Source organism: Homo sapiens, chromosome 4 (genome assembly GCF_000001405.40).
Source record: "Homo sapiens chromosome 4, GRCh38.p14 Primary Assembly".
NCBI lineage: Eukaryota > Metazoa > Chordata > Mammalia > Primates > Hominidae > Homo > Homo sapiens.
Window position 1 is genome coordinate 108,143,529 of NC_000004.12, and position 23,977 is coordinate 108,167,505.

Sequence of the window (23,977 nt, forward strand, 5' to 3'; positions counted from 1 at the left end):
AAACATTTCTTTTGTGATTCTATCATTAGCCTTCTCTTGCAAAGTAACAAGCAAAACAGTCACTGGAAGCATCCCAGGCTTCCCATTCAAACCAAAGGAAAAAGTCAATATACGGCGCCCCCTCAATCCCCTGCCCCCGCCTTCTTCAAGGCCCTCCTCAGAGAAACCTGTACTTAGAATTTTAGTCACCTGAACAGCATGTGAGAGAACACAGCACCACTTGCTCAGCCACCAACCTTGAGAGAGGCACTCCAGTGGCTAAGCAGAGACAAACTAAAAGCATATGGAATCTCAGTAGCCCCCGGAGCTGTGGGCTCCACACATTTCTCAGACTGCCCTCAGCAAAAATTGCCATCATTGAGAATGGAGGTGACAACACTGTAATGATACACAGGAGACTCGTTATATAGCATAATCTATGTGCTGGCCTATTTATTTTTCCCTTCAGGAAGGGAAAAATAATCTCTTGAAGAACCTGGAGGGTCCTTATGCTCCTTACTGAAAAGAAAAGAAAACTGCCTCAGAGGTGAGGAGTGGGGGAAGCAAGCCGGTTGAGGAGCAGGAGTTAATAGGTACTGCCCAAAGTCTGGGACCCCTCTAGATGAGGCATTCCAATCGCTTCACACAAATACAAATTTACTCTTAAAAACCTTTAAATAACCAGATTCCATGCTTTCCTTTGATAAACCATTCCAATGTTTATTAATCTCTCCCTCTGAAGTAATTCTCCCAACCTAAATTCTTTCAACAATTTAAGTCCATTTCCTTTGGTTATTCCTTCAGTGAAGAACAAAGCTGGCCCCAGGCACATGCTAAAGAAACAGTTCTTATATTTGGAGCTGGGTTTAAACTGCTCTCCTGTCTTCCCCAAGTCAAATGAACAGCTTATCAAGCAGATCCCCCTGGGAATTGGCAGAGTTCTGCCATCAAGATCTACAATCATATGTCAATAATTGGATGGTGCCCAATTTTCAACATGCTCATGAAAGACTGAGAACTGTCTCAGATAGCACAGAGCCTTCTTTTCAAGCGGTTTCATCACTTGCACACACAGTACATCTTTGGTTTAAAATAGCAAGTGCCCTAGTGCAGACATCTAATCTAGAGAGAAGGAAGGGAGCAGAATTCCCACACAGCTGCTGGAGGGCAGGGCCACAGGAGGGGTGAACAGGAGATGCCACAAGGTCACCATGAAGCACGACCTCAAATGATGTCATTTAGCTGGGCCACACGAGGGTGAAACACAGCCTCAGCCCACAGCTCAGTGTGCAGCAAACCCAGGTGATTCTGAGCAATCTGCAAGTAATCTGTACAGCAAAGAATTGACCCAACCAGCCAAAAAAAAAAAAAAAAAAAAAAAAGAAGAGTATCCTCATGAATACTGCATAATCTGCAGGTTTCATAAAAAACTTTCATATGAAACACTCAACAGCCACACTTTCAGAAGTATCTTATCGGAACAAATAGGAATAGGGTTCCCGTTTACTTTCCCCAGCCATCAATCTAGAATAGTTGGTTATCCCACATCATACAAAGAATACATAGCATTATCCACTGGGGTGCAGCAGGAAGAAAATACTACAATGTCAATACATATTTCTATATGAAAAATTTTAAGTTTTACCAGAAATATTTAACATACAAATTGCCACTGGGGCCCCCGTTTGCTCTGTATGCCAGACGGTCAAGAATGCCAAGTGGACTGAAGATAACAGTAATAATGTAAGCACAAAAAACAGCAAGAAAATGGCAAAGCCAACAGTTCTACCTCTAATATCAACCCTTTAAGAGCTTGCATTAAAGCTAAAATCTGTAATGACACTGGACAAGACTTGTCAAGAAGCTGACCAAAATAACGAGAAATTATCAATTTTATTTGAAATAACAGCCATCAGATAATTATATAGTTCAGGTATATAATTCATAAATAATTATACAGTGGCCAAAATTTTTAATTGATGAGGGCTTGCAGTAAAATAAATCTCACCATGGATTTAGATATCTGAAATATCAATTGATTTCACTTTTCTTCCTCTCAATATGGATTAAATCAGCTCCTTTCCTCACTGTACTGATCTAACCTTCTGGAAGCAAGATGGAGCCATGGAAGCCAGAGTGGAAAAGAAATGAAGCTGTGATACTCACTGTGACATGAATGAACCCTGAATACATTACACTCAGTGAAAGAAGCCAGTCACAAAGGACTACACCCTATATGTGCCTATGATTCTATTCTTATGAAATGTCTCAAATAGGGAAATATGTTGAGACAAAATAGGTTAGTAGTTGCTTGGGCCTGGGGTGAGCACTGAGGGAATGAGAGATAAGGGGATAATAGCTAAAGGCTCTGGGGTTACTTTCCGAGGTGATGAAAATGTCCTAAAACTGACTGTGATGATGGCTGCACTAACTATGTGAATATACTAAAAACCACTACACTGTACACTCAAAGTGGGTAAAATGTATGCTATGTGAATTATATCTCAATAAAAATGAAACTATTTTAAAAATAAGTGACCACTGAAAAAACATTTGCTGAATGAATAAGTGAATGAATTCCTCCTATCCCAATTAAACAAAAGCCAGAGGAAAAGCTCTCCTGGACATGTTCTCCATGAGTAAAAACAACTGTGTTGCTTAGTCTTTGTCCACGTAGCGACCTTGTGACTTTAAAACACTAAATGTTTGCTCATGAAAAGGAGTATCTGGATGATGACTGGGGTCAAGGAATTCAGGATTCTATGAGAGAGTGAGCAGAGGATGAGCAGAAAGTAGGTATGGCTTGGTGTTCCAAAGGCAGACCTTTAATGGTAAGCATTATATACCAGTGGAATTATTCACGTTAGATGTCCAGATCTGATTTGGTATAATAGGTATGCACTTGTGGTGCCCCTAATAAGTTATTAACATATGAGATGTCCTCCCAGAACCAGGCAAAAAGAAGTATTGAGTCAATCTTCTACCTTTCTCATAGCATCAGACCTTGCTTCACCTCTAGAGCAGAAAAAACCTCCTTTCTTAAAAAGCACTGACGTAAATTCTGATGCTTTCAGTACAGGTTGAGTATACTTTATTCAAAATTCTTAGGTCCAGAGGCATTTCAGATTTCATTTCAGATTTGGAGTATCTGCATTATATACCTATTGGTTCAGTATGTCTGATGGGAAAATCAATATCCTAAAAACTCCGACAAGTTTTTTGTTTTTGTTTTTTGATCTTCATGTTAGTGTTCAAAGAGTTTCAGATTTTGAAGCACTTCACATATTGGATTAGGGTTACTCAACCTGTATCGATAAAACAACTCAAGAGAAATGCAAGTGTGTTTTCTTTGAGTGAGCTCTAAAGTCTGGTACCATAAGAAGTCCAGGAGCTTTTAAGCACGGGAAGCATACTGACACAACCGTGTTTCCCTTAGTCTACACAACAGTCCTTTGTTAGAGCTTCAGATAAGAAAACTGAGGCTCAGTGGGGTGCGGTGGCTCATACCTGAATCTTTGGGAAGTGCAGGAGGAGCACTTGAGCCTAGGAGGTTGAGGCTGCAGTGAGCTTTGATTACACCATTGCACTCCAGCCTGGGTTACAGAGAGAGGCCCGGGAGGGAGGGAGAGAAGGAAACAGGCTTGAAGAAGTTAGGGACTAGTCTGTTCAGGGATACATGGCTAGTCAATGACTTGCCTAACTCCATGTCAGTATTTTTTCCTCTACCACGAGATTAGCAACAATAGAAGCCTAAAAAAAAAAAGTCTTTAAAAGGTTTTTCTCAGGTAGCCAATATTTTCAAATTTGCATAGACATTATTGAATTAACTCAAGATTAAAATAACAAATAAGAACAAAAACAAACATCTCAGATAGCCCTGAATTATGAACGGTTTTTTCATTTGTAGCTTAAATGTCACATTTCTCTCACCACTACACAGAGGCCTCTGTTTTTTCCTTATACCCAGCCATCTTAGGAGGAAATATTTCTTTTTGAAAAATTTAATCTCCATTTTCCTCTATAGATACATAAGAAGCCCTCATAAAATCTAGTACATATAATCCTGTATTATGTAACTTTTTGTTGGCTTCACATTATTCACTAAATGGGATCTAATATCCTCAAGCCTGCAATTCACAGTCCTATGTTGACACCTTATTCCTAGCAGTACAGTGATTCCCTGCAATGAATTCAGACCACGTATTTCCTATATGTGGTAACTAAATAATATTTTTGAAACAGTCATTTCCTACTCTTTCCAACTTACCGTTAGGATGCCAGAAATTTTTTTAAAGTACTTGTGAGTAAAGAAACAGAAACAAAAAGGTAAAGCAATTTTCCCACCTGTAGTAAGTGGCTAATCCTGGATTTGGGCTCAGGCACTTAAGATGCAGAGCATGTGTTCTCAGCCACTACATGACATATGTAAATAAATGAAAACTTATCTACCTTCATAATATTGTTTGCCCAATTCAAATTGTAGTCAAATTTAACAACAACGATTTAAAATGTGGTTAAATAGTACAAAAAGCAAGTGCCTCACACAAGGTAAAGGTTTCTGGTGGTGGTACTAAATAAACAGTGACACAGTACCAACAGCATAAAACAGAAGAGGGTCTAAGTCCTGGCCTCCACTCTTACCAACCATCAGTTAACTTGGCAGCAATGTTTATAAACTTGTTCATTTCAAATGCTCTATAAATAGTTCTGAGTTTCTGAGTTCTATTCTTAAATAGTCTTAGGTTACTTAACATGAATGCTCTTTTAATAAAAAAAAAAAAATTTATCAAGCAACTTTCCTGGCCCAGCCCAGAGGTGTCTACACAACCCTTTTTAAACAAGTAAACCAAATATTCCCCACCATGCTTCAAATGGGCCACATGGAACTGAAAGCAGGTAAAGAATGAATAGTACATATAAAGACAGTCCTCTGGAACTGCTCTACTAGGCTGCAACACTCCAGGGTGAGCAGGCTAGGCTCTGTTCACACCTGTATCCCTGGGTTGTAGTAGTGATGTCATGCCTGCCTCACTCTGCTCAGCTGTGGATGTTTGCACAAGTGTCTCTCCCTCACTAATCTGTAAGCTTCTAGAGGGTGGTGACTCTGCTTTTATCATCATGTATCCACAATGGGGCTCAGCACACTGACTGTCAAAATAAGTATCTTCAATGAATATTTACGGAATGAATGATAAATCATTCCTGAAAACATTCTTTAGGATTTATCTTCATTCTACCAGGAAACTTGTTTATCCTTAAACTTTAGGATTAGTTCAGAAACTCCTATAACAACATATAATTAGTGAACTGCAATAAGATGTGCTTTCTGGTTATTGCACCATCCTATGAGGGTCAAAAGAGCTGTATTAGCATCTTCACTCCTGAAATTAAATATAAATAATGAACCAAACTAATGCTGCACGGATATCAAAGATAGCACTGAGTTACTATGAATTTTCTTATATTAAGTAGCAAGTTCTTTACATATTAACTTGCAAGCAGATCTTAATTGTGCAGGAGTAAAGAAACAGATACATGATGTTGGTGTAAAATAGTTTTGAACCATTATTTCATGAATAGTTTGTCAAAACTGTTTACATGCTTACTATGTAAAAAGTTATCTTAAATCAAGAAAGCTATGAACCAGCAAGTAACATAAACAAATAGATTGGCCGGGCGCGGTGGCTCACGCCTGTAATCCCAGCACTTTGGGAGGCAGAGGCGGGCGGATCATGAGGTCAGGAGATCGAGACCATCCTGGCTAACGCGGTGAAACCCCGCCTCTACTAAAAATACAAAAAATTAGCCGGGCGTGGTGGCGGGCGCCTGTGGTCCCGGCTACTCGGGAGGCTGAGGCAGGAGAATGGCGTGAACCCGGGAGGCGGAGCTTGCAGTGAGCCGAGGTCGTGCCACTGCACTCCAGCCTGGGCGACAGAGCGAGACTCCGTCTCAAAAAAAAAAAAAAAAAATAGATTATAAATATATTTTTAACACGGTTTCATTGTAGTGGTATTTAAAATAACAACAAAAAAACTTTAACATCCATAACTGAGGATAAATCCAATAAATTAAAGTGTGTATATATTTGTGTGTATATATGTACATATATATACATGTGTATATATATGTACATATATGTACATGTGTATATATATATATAACTGGATACTATCCAGCCATTACAACTGATGACACAGACCTACATTCACATAAAGATGAGCACACGTAATACATTTTTAATGACAAAAGATTATAATAGAATAATAATCTTATAAGCTCATTTACAAAAACGTTTGTATTACAGGTATAGATACAGAAAGAATGTCTGAAATGAAACAATTCATCAAAATGAAACCATTATATCAGAATGACAGAAATATAGGTACTTTTTATTTATTTTTTCTGTTCTTTCATGGGTTTTCCCCCGTTTTTATATATTACTGTTAACCAAAAAAAAAAAAAGATATTTCCTTTTGAGAAAAAGAAGAAAAGACTGTTCCTAATGTCTCCTTAGAAAGAAAAGTTTCTTCACTTTTTAAAGGAAACTCACTGTTGCAACTTCTCAGGAATGATCACAATTCCAGTTAATTCTAAACTAATTTCTCTTATTTAAACCAACATCATGATACCACAAAAATCACCACTAACTGCTCCTAAAAATGAAGCACATACCACATTTTAATTGCTTGCTGTGCAAAGAATGCTCTTTGGCAGACTTTTGCCTGTAAATGCTCAGTTCTTATGTAATAAGGAGGCAACATCATTTGCCAAAAAGATTCTAAGAATAATGAAACCTTTGGTCATACAGCTATTTGATTAATCTGTTTAGTCCCTAAGACTTGGGGACACTGGGCCTCTAGAAGTGAGGAATAGAGATTCCCATAAAAATCAGACACTTATCAAACTATGTCTGATATACCCCAGGAAGCAATATTTCCTGGGAATTTTCAAGAATACATTGAGCAATCACATGGTTATGTGTTGAATGAACCAGAAGACAATTTCCAAGTATTCTTAGAACCTTTTATTTAAGCCATTTACATTATTTAATAAAAGTATAACAGATACCTTTAATCCTCAAAGTAGTTTATTGACTAAGGATTACTCTTAACACTTCTGAGAGATGAACTGATTTATGAATTGGGCCCCAGCTCCTGAAAATACCTGACTTTGAATCCAAATTCCCTACCACTTATTAAACTCTGGTTGGGACTATGGACATTCAAGTAACTTCTCTGTGCCTCAGTTTCTTCACTGGAAACATAGGCATATTAGTAGCATTCACTTCATACTGTTTAGTAAAGATTTAATAAGAAAAATGCATGTAAAGTACATCATTAAATATTACATGCTAGTATATTATTAATACCAGTACTCTCTTCACCCTTGGACAAAATACTTATTTCTCATAATCACATGGAGGTTTCTGGTCAAGGTCCAGGAAGCTTCATAGGTAAGTGAAGTGATTTTGTGAGGCATTGTTGACTTACATCAAATAAAGTATGGACCAAAAAGATGCCCATAATGTAAAATGGTTTGGTTCCAGATCTTGGTTAATTTTGTTTTCTTAGCATAAAACTGAAAACAATGATTCCTAAGCTAAACTCATGAATGCCTGTCTTCAAACTGGCTTCTCTTTCCAAATTAATTATTTCCATTAATACTGTCCTCTCACCATCAGGCTAGAACACTCATCATCTTTTACACAACTCTTTCCCTCCTCCACATCTAACTGGTCACCTTTGAACTCTTGTGTTATCCACTAGCATCATAATAGCTATTACTACCCAAAATATGTTAAAGAAATGTACAATTTCCAATTTTATTCTCACAAAACCCTACTAAGAATCATTTCCATCTTACCTATGAGAAACTCACTGATTCAATAATCATCTAGCGTCTTCTGCATGCTAGTGGCAGAAATGGTAATAAGAAACTGAAGTTGCAGAAAGTACCCTGCTGTGAGAGTGAAGACTTGAGCCTCAATCTGGTACCACTACTTACCAGTTGTGCAATCAGGGTAAATTATCTGACCTTCCACTTCTTGACCTGTTTACAGTCGTCCTTACCCTTCTCTATGCCCTGCATGCCATTGCTCAACCTTCTCTATACTTCAGTTCCCTCAACTGTAACACAGGGATATCAGAGATAGCACTGAGTTACTATGAGGATTAAATGGGCTAACGCACAGAAGGGGTTTAGAACAGTTCCTGGCATGTGCTAAGTACTCAAAACTAATAACTAACGTCTAGTCCATGGATTCTATATGAAATGCTCAAATAATTTCTAAGCTCCATTTTGGCTTTGCGATTCCATACAAATTTATATATTTTTAAGAGATTCCATTTAAATACGGATTGATACCTGGTGTTGTTGCGTTACATTCTTGAAGTTTTAAAATTTCTGTTCTGTTTATTCCACAAACATCTGGTGAGTAACCTGCTCTGTGGCAAGTAATATAACAGGTTCTGGGCAACAAAGATGAATAAGACATGCTCCCTATCCTAAAGAAACTAACAATCAATGAGAAATACAAACACAAAGACAAAAAGCTATTGGAAAACATGGCTACAGAGCTCTGAGGGAGGACTTATGAGGACCCGAAAGAGAGAGTAGTCACTCTTGACTGACGGTGGGATCCGGAGGAACTTCATTGAGGAGGCAGCACTTACCCCAGACCTTTAAGGATGGACAAGACCCTGCTGGCAGGGAATAGAGAACAGGGCATTTCAGCGAGAGCAAGCTATAAGAATCCAAAGACAGGGTTTTGGAAAAGGGTTTAGGATGCAGGTCTGGGAGTGTAACTGAATCATAAGCTGCAAGGCAGAGTGGTGAGGAGGTAAGACTTGAAAGGGAGATGGTTCCAGGGTGTGGAAAGCTTTTAAAAATAATGCCCCAAAATGTGATTTAATCCCACAGCCAGTGGGGCAAGGCACTCGGGGAGAAAACCTCATGAGATCTGACGAGAGGTGAACAGTGCCAGTGGTCTCAATTAGGGCCCAATATGGTTGAGTGAAGAGAAAGTAAGCTTGGGGCCAAAGGGCCACACTTGGAGTCCCAGCTCCACTGCTTTCTGGGTGTGAGACCTCTGGAAAGTCATTTACATTATCTGAACCTCAGTTAAATTACTGAGCATCTACTGTGCCAATGTTTTTCCAAAACTTATTTTATAGAAGAATCAATGGAGAGTTTGTTAAAAGCGCATCTACATGACCTGCCTGTAGTGTGTGATTCAGGACATTTGCAGACGGGGCCAGTAATCTGCCTTTTTAACAGAAACACCTGTAATTCAGAGGCCACTGGCCACCTTCCAGCCATACCACCACCAATGCCAGATGAGGAGACCAAGGGTCAAAGAGTGTGAACACACATCTAGTCAGTAGCAGAGTGGTAGCATCTAGGTATATGGACTCCAACAGCAGTGCTTTGCTGCTGCTCTCTTTTATTTACTCATTTATTTTACCATTATCTTGGTTGGACCCTAGTCTCACTGACTGCAAGTCATGACTAAAGAGACAATCACCTCACCCTTTTCCCTTCCTCCCTAGCTTGGTCACTAAAGTAGGAACTGCTGCCCTCTCAGCAGTGGCTGTAGCCCTTTTCCCTCCCCAGCACCTCATGCACTCTCTACAAGGAAGGACACTCATCTCTTTGGCAACCTAGAAGCAGGAACTGAGCAAGGACAGACTGACCCTTTGTTCTCTCTGTCAGGCCAGCTTGCCCAAACATGGGTTTGGTCTCATCTCCAGTTCTACAGGATGTGAGCACCCTGCCTCTGCAAAAGAGGCATGTGGCTTGGTGTTGTGTTCAATTTAGGAAAATCAAAGGAAGTCCATGGTTTGTATCACAGTTCAAGTCACGTTCTCCAATGTAGCCTTATTGATAATACAGTTGGTATTATACTGCCTGATACTGTCTGGCCTTATTAATAATAAAGCTGATATTACACTTTCCCTCTGTCTGACTTTGCTGGACTAATTATTGACTTGAAGAGGCATGAAAATTATCAGCCTCAAAACACTAACCACAACGAAAGTTGAATGTAAACAAGTACATATTTTTAAATATTAACTTTATAAACATGTTTTTAAGATTAAATTGCAGTGCAGGTAACTCCTACCTAAAAAGGTGCATTGCCTTTGACTGCAATTCTGGCAATTTGTTCCAAAGAAACAATTCAGAATCTGTGCAAACTTTTAGTTAGAATATATGCACTTCATCACAGTACTGCATAAGGTGGGGAAAAAGGTGATACAATCTAAATGTCTACCAATAAAATACTGGTTAAATAAATTAGGCAATCTATTAAAAATGATGTTACAGAAGATTATTTATTAATAGAAAAAGATATACATAATAAGTTGGTGGCAAAAAAGCAAGTTGCAAAATGATACCTTATGTTCCTATTGCCATGAATATATAACAAGTATTTGTGTTTGTTTACCTACATTTATATGTGTGCACAGAAAGAAGTCTAAAAGGCCACACAGAAAAAGTGATCGTCTTTAACAATGTGATCCTGGGAATTTAATATTTGGTATTATTTTTGCTTATTTGAATTTTCTAATTTTTCCAGTGAACATGTATTGCTTTTTAAATTTCTTTTTATTTTAATAAAAATGGTTAAGCATTTTTGAAATTTTCAAGAAAATTGTAACAATTTCTCTTCTGCTTTCAATTTTAATCAATATTATGATGAATTTAATAAGTACTTTGTATTCTTAAAGGTAAATATGGCTATTTTAAATGAAAACAAACAAGTCTTTAGACCTTAAGGAACCGTATTAAATTGGGGCAGGTTACTGCTGTCGCTGACGATGGATCCTTGTCTTTAACACCGGGAGTATAACACTCACCCCAGTTTTCACATTAGGATTAAATTAAATATGACAACCCTGTAAGGTGCCTCGCACAGTATGTAGCACAAGGTAGTAGCAAAAAAAAAAAAAAAAAAAAAAATCAGTTGCTTTCCCTTCTTTTTCAAGCAAAAAAAAACCAAAAAACTTGAGTTTTAACTTAAAATTCTAATGTATGAATACAAATAAGAAAAAAAAATAATTCAAGCAATGATTATTTTCCTAACACTGCCAGACAGCTGACTGGTCAGCCCAACTGTAATAAACAGTAAATATTATTTACTTCATATTTTGGTTTTGTTACAGACTTTAAGATGCCAAAACAAAGTCTAATATATTTGAGATAAGATTTCAGCACCTTTTTCCCTCGATCCAGGTCATTTTAACCAGTATACAAAGATGATATGACCATAATTATTTTAAGGTACCATTTATAGTGTTCAAAATTGAGGGATCCTGTACAAAGAAAGCTGCATCCAATATATAAATATTTAACATTCATGGGATTTTACTGAAAGAAAAAGAAAAGTCCTGAAAGGAAAGAAGCTGGAATTTCCCAGGAGGCTAGAAAAACATTGATTTCTCCTTGCTGTTCAGCCAACACATCCCTTTGGACGTGATCCTTTTCGGTGACAAGAAAGCTAGAAAAATTTAAGCCAGAAGGAAATTCGAAGGGCAAAAAAAAATAACTTGCCCATTGTCCTTCATACGGCTCCTGGATATCCTTTCTCTATAATTTTTGCAGTAGAGAGAAAACCCCAGCTCCTATGGGATTAAGGGGGAAAAAAAAATCTCCTAACCAAAAACATATTCTTACCTCAATTCAACTCCATTCAAGTAGTTAAGAGTTATCTGGCAATTTCATATCAAATATTAGAAGGATATGAGACTTTCGGCTAACAAACCTGAAATTTAGAAATCTGTTCCCTCATACGTCTCATTCCCTTTCATGGTGGATTACGGTGCTAAAGAAGAAAATCTGCTGCTCTCCTAACAATCACAAGGAAAGCGAGCCCAAGAGAGGAAAATCAGATCTGTAAAAATACGATGACATTCCCCTGAATTTTTATTTATGCAAACATTTTCTAAAGGTTTGTGTAAGGCCTTCACCCAGTATCCAAATTCTGAGTCAGCATGATGGCACAATAGGAACCGAAAGTTTCTTCCCTTTCTCTGGAGTTTCCCGGGTAGAGTCAAGCACTTCTTATAGCTGCAGAAATCCCACCAGGTGGGGCCCAAGGCACTGACTTACACCATCTTAGACTCCTGCTCTGCGGCCACAGCTAGAAAACAGCGCTTTTGCAGGCTTTGTGCCATATGAACTTCTCATCAATCAGATCAGGTAGACAAGCCCGATATTAATATGCCATTTAACCTTCCCAAAGTTTTCAGAAGAAGATGATGGAGACCCGACATTAGATCTCAGGTCTTTTAACATCTAGCCTAGTCCTTCCCTTCTCTATGTTTAGCCATCATAGGGCACTGCCTACCTATCTCTCCCTAATTAAGGCTCAAAAATTTTGTTCACCACATTGCAAAAGGATAGAATCAATTTACAAAACACAATGGCCTAGAAAAGTCAGCACTGAGGCTGCCATGTGTATTTGAAAAGGACAGAACTTTTTAATAGCTGAAAATACCTCGTGATACTGAAAAAAAAGTTCCTTCTATTGCCAAGAGAATAAAAATGAATTGAAAAGCATTAACCACATGATTCTGAAACATACTTGAAGATGGTTTTCTTTTTACTAGTATTGTGTTTCCATCTCAAGAATCCTTCTGAAAAAAGCAGTTTTATCATCTCCATTTCTTCAATTAGGTTTCTAGGACCTAACTAACAGATAAGTACTTCCTAAGATAAATCCTCATATGAGGGTCTAGTCCATTCTTTATTTATTCCAGTAGTGCACTCCCCCGGCTGACTGTTTTCAGGAGTTATCTGGAAACTCTATATTCTATAAGGAGTAGTTTTGACTTCCTCATTAAAAACACTGGTCTAATGCTACTTTATTCACCAATGCAAAAAATAAGAGAAAAAGTAAAATAATCAAATACTAAGGATTACTTAGTAAACACTTTCAAGTTTTACTTTTCACGTAGCATTTGGTTTCATAAAGACAGATCATTTGGAAATATCCAGAAAACACACATGCAAAATTTCTTCTACATTCTTTATTAACTCAGCACATTTACTGAGGTTTCTACTCTGTGCTAGGCTGACTGTAACTAACATAATTCATCAGCAGTCCCTGAGTTTAAACTGGAGGACTGCTGATGATAGTCCCCCAGTTACTTTATGATGGTAACTGATTACTAGATGATTAACTATCATCAACATTTTTTATAATTTTTATTGTAAGGTTTCCAGGATTAAAAAAGATTTATAAAAATATCTTAGTAAAAACGCAAATATCATGTTATTGCTTGTAAGTGTGAGCTAAATAATGTGGACATAGAGTGTCAAACGATAGACAGTAGAGACTCAGAAGGGTGAGGGGGTAGGAGGGGGGTGATGATGAGAAATTTCTTAATGGATATGTTATCTGGATGATGGATACTATAAAAGCCCTGACTTCACCACTATGCAATCTATGTATGTAACAAAATTACACTTGTACTCCATAAACTTATACAAATAAAAGAAATATATCTTAGTAGGTCAAATTTTAAAATTTTGCTTTGGTTACTGTTTCATTCAGAAGCTGACAACAATAATAAAAGAAAATTAAGCTACCCTAGAACCACTCTCCTTTTTAGAGACCCTAACTTATATCTACCTCTTCATTCTCTCTCTCTCTCTCTCTCTATATATATATACACACACACACACACACACACACACACACACACACACACAAACACACATATAGCTCTTTCGCCCAGGCTGGATGCAATGGTGCGATCTGGGCTCACTGCAACCTCAGACTCCTGGGTTCAAGAGATTCTCCTGCCTCAGCCTCCTGAGTAGCTTGGCACCTGCCACCAAGCCCAGCTAATTTTTGTATTTTTTAGTAGAGATGGGGTTTCACCATGTTGGTCAGGCTGGTCTCAAACTCCTGACCTCAGGTGATCCACCTGCCTCGAGCAATAGGCAACTTTTTACAGGTGAACATAACAATGACAATAAATTACTATGATGAAGATCAAAATTTCATCTGCAAAACTGTCATCAAGTTCCACATAGGGTTATGTGTGAGCATAGGTAGACACAACGGTCAACAAATCCAGCTTTTTAAAGATTCTACTTGTCCCTAGCTAGCTGCAAAAATAAACTGTATTTCTAGACACTCTGTGATGCAACCTTCTCTGCTAGTCCTATTTCTCCTACAAATGGAAAAATGGGGTTGGCAACAAAACTCTTGCTTGCTCTGCACTGCCCTTGCAATTTTCCCTATACAGATTGAAGGCATGTGAGTACCATCGCTCAGTGAGCTTTGTAAGTGATCTAGAGATAACAAGTGGATAATTGCAGCAGGTTTACAGGTTTAGCTACAGTGGGTATTATACAAATGCACTCTTTTACAGAGACTTTATAATCCTCTACACAGCCTCTGCTAACAGTCTGCAAATAGTCCCAGCTAGATTATCAGAATTTCTGAGTTAGCAATGCCTCCTGCTCCCTGTCCAGTCCTCTGCTCAACTCCCCGCTCTTCACTTTGGTACAGATTAACTCCCAACTCCCCCCACCTCCACCCCCAGTCTTTGTTGTTGTTCTCTAGGATATTTTAAGGCTTTCATCTTCTCTATCTGAGATACTGGATGATTTATATCCCTAAAAGAGTTTATAGCAGAGTCCACAGTTCCTAGGCAGGTAATTCAAGATCATAATATTTAAAAAGTAATCATGAACCTAAAGTATAATTTTTAAATTATCTGAATAAAATCCAATGGCTGCCTTTTCTAAATAAGTAAGGACATGTAAGGATAGCACAGAAGAGTACTAAGTGTCTTGATTACTACAGTATTAGCTTCCTACAGATTGGCTCAGCTCAGCACAAACACTTAAGCAACAGCTTCAAAGAGGACAAGTTTTAAATGAACATTCCCTTAAAAAAAGAGAGAGAGAGAGAGAGCGCGCAACCTTTAGTCCCAGGACAGCAGCACCTACATAATGCTGAGCTCTACTTTTACCTGGGAATAAAACATATATGTTTTTCTGCTTGCTACAGACAGTGCTGGCATGTTTTCTCTTTAAATTCCAAGTCTTTTACCAAAATCAAAAGGAAATCAGCTTTATAAAATTCCAGTCATGTCTATGATACATAAATGAGGAACAAAAGGAGTCAAAAATGAAGTGTTTTGATTGCTCAAAAAAAAATTCAATCACATAAACCCAAATGGTTCTGTCTAAAGAACATTAAAAAAAAAAAACTCATCCGCTACAAAATTGATATTATAGCAAGTGCTTGTGAGTCTACAAATTCAAGTCCAGAGAGTCCCATTTGTGAGACCCTACCTCTGCTCTGTTAAATCACATAAGGGTCTCGGACCACAGGGAAGACTCGATCAAAATAATGAGGTTGATGAGAGCAAATCTAAGACCTGTATGGGAGTGGAAAAAATACTTCAAAAGCAAGATTTTTGCGGATTGGCTCAATGGTCTTTTTTTTAGTGTGTGGTCTTTTTTTTTTAAGACTATCTTTTGGGTTGTTCTCATGTCTTTATCAATGAAGAAGAAACTACTAGGGTCATTTCAAAAAAACTATCTGAGTAAGAACCAGGCATGTAAATGCAATATTAGCTCTGCAAGGGTTACATGTAGTATGGCTTCCTGGCACACTTAAATAAGCAAACTGGCCATAAGGTATTTGATGGGGGAATGGCAAGCGCTTCCAATTATTCTGACTATGATCCTGTCCCAAATTGTAGCAATGCCATGAAGGAGGGATCAAACAGGAAACTTTGGGGGCTCTGAGGAATTTTCCCACACATTCTCCTGACATCTATATATACATTTGAGTTAGAATAATACACTTTCTAAAACTTATTCTCCACTTGAAGGGGAAAACTCAATGTGTTTAGCTTCAAAAAGTGCACAACTTAAAATAGAAAAGTGAAAATTATTTATAGGTTAAGTCAAATTCAATAGCTTCTTGCAATAAAGTGAAAAGATACTCTACCTTAAAAATCTTGCATGAGATATAAGCCTTAGTCTCCATCTATCCTTGAATATTATTTATGTGATTATTTTCAAAGGTATCCAACAATGTCACGTACAGTGGTACATTCAGAAGCTTACTGATTAGACAAGTCCAACTTAGTTCCTTAATTCCAGATGTGAACAATGACAAAATCAGATTTTAGCTGTTTATAAGCAAGTACAAATATGCAGGGTAGGTAAGACAAAGTTATAATAGGTATAATTCTGTTTAATAGAAACCAAAGTGTTGATTCCCTTAAGGTAAAAGTCACAACAGAACTAAGTTATACAAGGTAATTAGAAAAGAACTCATGGAACATTTTCATAGCAATTTCTACTTTAAAAAAATAAACATTTTAAAAGATAGCTGAAATGAGAACACCCATATCTTTCCTTTCCCACCTAAAAATTGACTCTTAGAAAGATCACAAAGAACCAAAAACAATGAAGTTTGCAGCGCTACACTGACCAGGTGTTATTGTGGTTTGATGTGACTGAGCTGCAACGTTTGCTGCAGCTTCCTGCACTGTGTTGCTTTTCCCTCCCCAAGCATCTGAAGAGAAATGAGATGTTTCTTTTCTAAGGTGTTAAACATTTGGGTTGCATGCGGGACAAATGGAAGATTGACGCCTAAGATGAATAACCACAGTGCATTAGGCCAGTGGGAACTTTCACTACATTAAAGCTGGCCAAGCTCACCATTCACACGGTGTTCAGGCACACAACTGCCAGAGCCAAACTAGGGATGTAAAGAACTATTTTTTTCTTTTAATACTTTACCATTGGCCTACAGGGATTTTCATAAATAAAGTTCAGAGAACGAAAGGTTTGGGAGTATGCTTTTAATAAACTCTCCAGGGTCCTGGCTCTAAAATATTTAACAGGCTTCTGCATCTTCTCTTCACTCTCTGTGAAGAAGACCAACTCAAGCCAAAGTTTACTATGCCCTAAGAACTCACGCTGACACCAAATATGTCATGATAGGTGCTTTCTTCTTAGACCCAATTTATCTGAACTAAGAATTCTTATTTAAAATTCTGTGAGAGACCCATTCATAAGATTTCTGGTATAGACACATTCACACCCCTAAGGATTCCAGTTCTAGAAGGATGTAATTTGCCAATTAAAATTCCCCTTGAGAAGAAAAAAAGCTGAGTAGGTGAAAGTGGTGCTCCTGAACAGGTAATACTGTATATTGGTCATAGGTAAAATCTGTTCCAGGATACACACAGTAGCATTTGTCTAAAAAATAAGCAAAAGCATATGCACTTTTTATAATTAGATTCCAGCAGAAACATTTCTCTGCATGCCAGTTGGCCATAGCTGGTATCCTCTGGATTGTCTGCAGTTAGATACAAACAGAAGACTGTTTAGGGAAGGAGTGGTCAGGTCCCTCCCCCACCCCAGGTGTTTTTCCAGTCCTAACACTTTTGGGAAGCAGATGCAGTAAACAAGCAATTGTTTGTAATGGAAATTCAAGAAGCAGGATGCCAAGGGGATGCTCCCATCCTAAGCCCAAACACAAATGGTCACCATGCTCCTGACACCCTAGATGAAAATCTATCACTGTGGATGTTAGTGACACAAACACTCAGCCCTGCTAAGGACAGAGTTAAAGAGCAAGAAGGCAGAAGTGTGGTTAGGGGTGAAGAAGAGAGGCTGTCTTCCGGTTAGTGTTTTTGATCTCCGACACATTAAAAACAGCTGTTAGGTATTAAAAACCAAAGATTGTAACTCACTTCGGTTGGACCCTAAAAAAAAAATTTACATAGTCTTGTGGTTACAGCTGAAAAGCTTCTGGAATTGTGCAAACTGCAGAATATCTCAAGAAAACATGCCTAAAATAAATACATCCTAATATTTAACAGAATAAAGCAAAGCAACAGATAACAGGGTAAGGTAACTGTTTCCTGACCACACCTCTTTCCTACACTTTACCCAGACCAACATTTATTCTGGCCACAAATCTTTCCTAAACAATGAATGACTGTTTGATTCACTGACCTCAAAATTTTAATACATACACTAACAATAAATACCTTCTATCAAAAGATATTTTCTATCAAAATTTCAAAATGACTAGTATACTGGTAGATTGGGAGAAAAGACTGTGGAAACACAAGGCAGAATGCTGGCATAAAGAGGAAGATCAGCTTAATTTTCAATATTCTTAGGGATTGCTTATAAATACCAATAAATTTTCATTATATTGATTTTTTAAAATTACCATTTTGAAAGGAGAAGTAGCTGATCTTTTTAAGAAATAAATTCCACAAATGCTGTATACTCACAGCTGAAAAACGTAAGGCTGTTTTGTGGCTATTTTCTATTGTCACCAACACTACTTTGATTTGGAAAGATTATTTGTTATTCTGAAAATGATTTAACAGGAATCTTCAAATATTCCTTATCTAAAACATATTCTCCTTCCCTTCTCCACCCCCTCCAAAAACAGCAAAAAAACCTGCCCAAATATTAAAGAGATATCTATATATTTGTATGTTTTGTTCAAAAATTTAAAGTCTCCTACAACTTTTAAAACTCAAGCATTTATTTGAGGGGCCTCTAAATATTAAACTATTTTTGCTTTTTTAAATTACTTTTTAAGTAGGAGATTCATCCTCATCACACAGACATCTTTATCATTAAATACTTGAAAAGCCTTAAAATAAAATATGAAATACCTATTTCTTACAGCAACCATCACAAGATCTCCCTCAAGATTAGAACCCCAAGATCTCCACTTTAACTACTATATAAAAATTAGAAAAAGCTTATTCCTTAGCTGAGAGATCAAATATCCTTTAGCAATTTATTGGAAAATAATTACAATAACATCTAAATTGCAGTGCTCAAAGTGATCATATTTGATATAAGTATCATTTCAACAACTGAAGATTATGTGTAATGATAACCACAAATACTCTTGTTGATAACTGTTGATTTTGAGCCACTATTCTCTGCTAGTGAATCTTCTCACTCCCAGATTTTGTTCACTAAGGTATTAACAACGTTACTCTTCCCAGATGTTTGTGACTGATTTTTTTCAGTTGGTAGAAACACTGGGCAAGTAAGTCAAACACTATAGGTTCCATTTTACAATCTGAGATTTGACCTCCAGGGCTGTCAGTGAGACTGGAACCCTAATCCCCGAGACCCATAGACATGTGTTTTTCATTGGGGGTTAGGTGATAAAGGGAGAGTGGGGCTGGAGAGAAGGTAAATATATTGATGGGTCAGTAAAAAGTCCGTCACCAACGCTGGTGGGCTAATTCTAAGAGAGAACTCCATCACCAGCACATTTTACATCTACATACTACACAAGTTACCATTTAGGTATTTTCTCACTTAAATGAGGTTTCCACTTCCTAAGAGAAATATCATCAAATAAACCTGAAATTCTTTATAATGTTATGCATTTGCATAATGCAGTTATAATACCACTGCATTTTTAGAATTTTAAAAGTTAACTAAACCACAAGATTAAAAAAAAAAGGAACAACTTTCATTAGGGTTATCTTTGAGTGATGCTTTCTCAACAATTGACAATAAAGCAAAAATAACTCATCCCCGCCAAACCGATCCTAAGGAAACATTGGCCGATACAATAAAACAAGACACCATTTGAAAAGCCAAAGTAACATAACAAACATTCAGCTCCAAATGAGCTAAAGTAGCTCTGATTCTAGAAAGCTTGTGGGCATTAAAAGCTATACAGTCCTTACTTAGCTGAAAAAGTAAATCAATTTTTTCCTCTCATCAGCATAGAATGCACAATACTCATAAAATCAGGGATTTGTTGATGTAACTTCACTTGATTTTATAACTTATGATCTGTTACATATTTATTTTAATCAATAAGCCAAAAGCTAAAATTTCAAAGGCAAGACATCAAAGGTAGCACTGTTTTAAGGTGGCCATTCCTCATAACAGCTCTTATTTAGCAACGACTAGTTATATATAATGAAAGCATTACCAATGAGTTTGGAAAAATAAACATTCTGCCAAAATACAAATCAATTTGCACTTCTGAACATAATTTGCAACATCAGCATGTTACTTACTGTTCTCGGGATGGGTGGAGAAAGAGATCCATTTGACATGTATGGGTCGTTATTCATATTTGGCATCATTATGTACCCGGAATAACTCGAGTAGGAGGGTCCCTTGTTGTAGAGGCCTCCATCTGGATGCTTTCCTGGGAAGATCCAAAGAACAATCAATGATGCACTGACTTCCCTTTTATATTACTGTATTTTTCATCTGAAAATCTAATAGTTCTAAGATAAATCAGACCCTACATAAAAGATTTGTTTACAAAATACTGTAACTGGATTATTATGCTCTATTTTAGATTGACAGTATTTATTCTCTTAAATAGCTTAGCAGCAAACCAGATGTTTTAAAAACATGTAGTTCAAACAGTTCTTCCACTACTGACTGATGTTTTTACAAAAATAAGTGTTATCCATCTAACTTAATTTGTTCTAATACTAACAAACTGGACTAAAATATACAGAACACACACAACTTTAAAAATGTAATATAAATATATTAGGCCATCTAGCTACACACAAACACAGAGATTTATACACTTGAAATTATGTTTTGCCTTGTAGACAAACTCAAAGATTCTACCTGTGCTTGCAGATTTCTAGAAAAATTTCTAGATTCTACTGAAAGAGTTGTTATCTAGTATATAGGCAACTATCTAAATTTATAAAGGATTAACTCTGGGAGGCTTAATTTTATGTGCTACACTTAGATCATTTTGCCAAAAAATTTCTGTTCGATATGTGTATTTCTTCTTGTTAATCTGTGTAACTATCTTGTAGCTGAGGAAGAAGCCTAATATATAATTCTCTTCCCTGCTCCTGGTTGACATATTGTATGTAAAAACACTTCATTTCAGTTAGGCCAATTGTTAAGTAATTAATGGAAAACAGATAGGCTGACAAGAAATCCCTAAGGTTACTTGATTCTTTTAAAGTCACAAAGAATTCTCCTTAAGTCTAAATACATATGTATGTAATTTTAAAGTTTTTAGCAAGAATCAGAAATAGGGAGAAAGGGTATCATTTCTGATATGCACATTCCTAATTATAAGTTTTATATTTTTACAAGTTAGATTCTGCTCTGCTCATTTACTGCCGGCCTTTTCACTGTAATAAGGAACAAGAAACAGCAATTTTGCAAGTGAAAATCCACTCAAAACTATTCTGGTTGGAAAATAAATCGATATATACTGTCGTTCTTCTTAATAATATATTAAAAATACTAAAGATCTAAGCTAATTAGGATTTAAGGTAAGATGAGGAAGAGAAAAACTCATTGTAGACATTCCCTCTTCCCAAAGAATCTGGAACCCACCTGAAATCCAAGGGTCCCTAACTCATTCAAAAACAGTTTTTAAATTATGTAATATATATTAGAGGTAAGCCATAAGTTTCCTGCGTTTTCTTTACCATTAAAATAGTGGGCATAGTCTGACCTAGTCCCAGTTTCTTGAACTCAAAAGTAACAAAACACACCTATTTATACAAATTGCACCCCTTATCTGCTAAAGTCAGAAGAAGTAGAATGGGTGTCTTACCGTCATCGGGGTGTTCTCTGGCCTTGTCGTGGTAGGGCTCCTGAGAGGTTTGTGCTTGTCTGGCCACCTAACATCATGAATCCCCACACCCAAAAGAAAGAAAATCACCTTAGAGTTTGTGACAATAATGGTACAAATGTGTGTGCGCTGGTAATTCAAAGGAAGAGGTTTAGGGGCAACTCTGTTTTATACTCTGAGAGACATACGCTAGTGTTTAGTACTGCATAATCCTTTTCTTGTCAACATGTATTTTTGAGTGATTATTATCCACCCGGGACCAAAAACGTATAAATAATAACAAAACCAATAAAAATATAGTTAAATTTGGGAATGATCCACATGCTGTTCTGACTGCTGTTTATTAAACCATATCAAGGCTCCTTGGATGCCTAATATTACAGGAGTAGGAGTTAATGGGGTTGATGGTTTCGATAGCCTCTTCAACCACTGTTCACTTCAATCAGATCTGATTAAAAGAAGGCTGAAATATCATTTTGCAACTGAAAATGGCATTTAAACATAAACAAGCCAACCACTCAGATGCGGTCTTAAGGCAACTGCCCTGAGCGCAGTTACAGCAGAAGCTCCACTCGAGCTTATAACCTACTATGGCTGGCTGAGTGCAGGCTTACAAAAGTAGAACGATTCTGTGGTTAAAGGGAGGAAAATTAGAGAGTCAGGTTATAGACATCTAAAAGGTAGCCCAGTTGATATCAGTTTTGGTAATCACCATCCACCCAGACAGCCTCAAACACGTGCAAATCAGTGGTATTACTCCTTCACCCTCAGGCCTCCTCATGCCCACTTAACACCCGAGTGCTCTCGGATTCGAACGCAGTGTCCTTCACCCGGACCAGAAAATTGTGGAGAATATGAAGTGGGTGGCAAAATTATTTATGGACTAAGGCAGGACTAGCAAAATGGGTAGAAAGAGAGGCTGCTCTACAAATAGGAGAGTTTGGCAAAAAGCCTGTGTTTTGGATGTTATTCGGTTCTCTGGACGTGTGTCCTCCCTTTGACCTCCTTTTCCCAGCACACAGTAGTCACAAATCTTTTACGCGGGGTTAGGTGCACCCTACCCCCGCCCCCAGCCCGCTCAAACTGGATTCAACGGGTAAAGAACACCATTCTGTTCTCTGAACGCAGGCCCCCAGCCTTTCAAAATTCGTACTCACCTCTGCCATTGGGATAGAGAAGGCAGATCTGAGGTGTTCTTAAACGCGCTGTTTAAAACCCAAAATGTCCCCGCCCTCAAAACCACACACTTTCTTTTTGGGGGTAGAAAGATGCCATTTAAGGAAAAAAAGGTATATCCTCCAAGTTTCTTTGGAGGGAAAAGGCGTTGGTTAAATCATTCGGGTGTCAGGACTTTTCTACCGGATTTCCTCCAGAGGGTTTCCCAGTTGTGGAACAAGGGTGACCAGTGGAGTGTCGGGTATCAGGGTCCATCCGCCCCCTAGACCAGCTCTGGACTAGGCTTCAAACAGCCCTCCAGCGCGGCCCTGCTCCGCGCTTTCTCTAGCCAGCACCCACGTGTCTCTATTTACTCTACTCAGGTTACCAGCTCTATCGCCCGCAGCGGGCCAGAAGACCCGATAAAGCGCCTTCCACCCTGCAGGACTAGTGCCCGGCTTCCGCTGCTTCTCCGCCTTTCTTCTGCGTAGATTTAAGGCCTGATCCGGTCCCAAACCCCAAATAAAAGTTGTGGGTTTGTTTCCAAGTGATGGCGGTTGGAGAAAACTAGAGTTGGGGGCGGTACAGCCAGGGTGTACCCTTGCGGTGGGTCGGCTCGGCGCACCCACAGCTCCCAGCTGCTAGCCCAGGCGCTGGGGCCGCAGGGACTGAACCCCGCACCGCCCCCGCAGCCCGGGTGCGCGCCCCATCGGCCGGCCTGCTCCCCGCGGCCCGGCTCACCGGTGGTAGGGACGGCCCCGCCTGCCCCAGCCCACGCCCGCCTCCCCTTCCTCCCGCCTGTGGCTCTGCTCGTCTCCACCTAAGCCTTTGGTGGTTTAACGCACTTTTGCAGAGACATCTACCAAGAGATAGCGTGTGCACTTTGTTTTCCGTCCCACGGAAGAATTTATCAGTAGCGTTATTCAGCCCTACTCGCTTTAAAGCACGGCACCCCTCAGCCCAACAAAAAGACCGAAGGCGAAACATTGTGGGTTCCTGCCCGCGAACCAACCGTTCAGCCACCGAACCCCCTAAACTGATCCATTTGGAATAAGTTACCCTGCCCCTCTACCTCCCATCCTACACACACACACACACACACACACACACACACACACACACACACTGCGGACCGGGGGCCCAGCTACGCACACACCCCAAAACAAACGAGGGATCTACTCGGGACCCTCAGCCGGGCGGCCGGGCGCCTTCGTTCCCTTCCTCCCTCTCTGAGTT

At 38.5% G+C, this 23,977-nt stretch overlaps 1 protein-coding gene across 11 annotated transcripts in view, besides 3 other annotated features; it reads right to left on the minus strand.

The window, feature by feature from the left end:
- Window positions 1-23,977, minus strand: part of LEF1 (lymphoid enhancer binding factor 1) — a 121,385-nt gene that overhangs the window by 95,981 nt on the left and 1,427 nt on the right. For 6 of the 11 annotated variants that reach the window (XR_007057926.1, XR_007057925.1, NM_001130714.3 and 3 more), the window contains exons 2-3: window positions 21,569-21,635; window positions 20,040-20,173 (exon numbers count right to left, since the gene is read on the minus strand). Coding sequence is in view for 8 of the 11 variants with exons in the window: in NM_001130714.3 (NP_001124186.1) it covers window positions 20,040-20,173; window positions 21,569-21,635 (201 nt within the window). In the remaining 3 variants the exon portion in view is untranslated. Of the gene's footprint in view, window positions 1-20,039; window positions 20,174-21,568; window positions 21,636-22,743; window positions 22,774-23,129; window positions 23,412-23,977 lie in introns of those variants that run through there. The other 5 variants (XR_007057927.1, XM_005263048.1, NM_001166119.2 and 2 more) reach the window with 2 other exon arrangements.
- Window positions 23,358-23,597: a silencer, noted in NCBI's record as "silent region_15616". NCBI's record gives its function as "represses an Ori minimal core promoter by ATAC-STARR-seq in GM12878 lymphoblastoid cells {active_cell/tissue: GM12878}" and the evidence as "EXISTENCE:reporter gene assay evidence [ECO:0000049][PMID:35858748]".
- Window positions 23,358-23,976: a biological region, named in NCBI's record as "H3K4me1 hESC enhancer GRCh37_chr4:109088159-109088660".
- Window positions 23,475-23,976: an enhancer, noted in NCBI's record as "H3K4me1 hESC enhancer chr4:109088159-109088660 (GRCh37/hg19 assembly coordinates)". NCBI's record gives its function as "activates a minimal SCP1, AML or CMV promoter by ChIP-STARR-seq in primed H9 embryonic stem cells {active_cell/tissue: H9 hESC(primed)}" and the evidence as "EXISTENCE:reporter gene assay evidence [ECO:0000049][PMID:30033119]".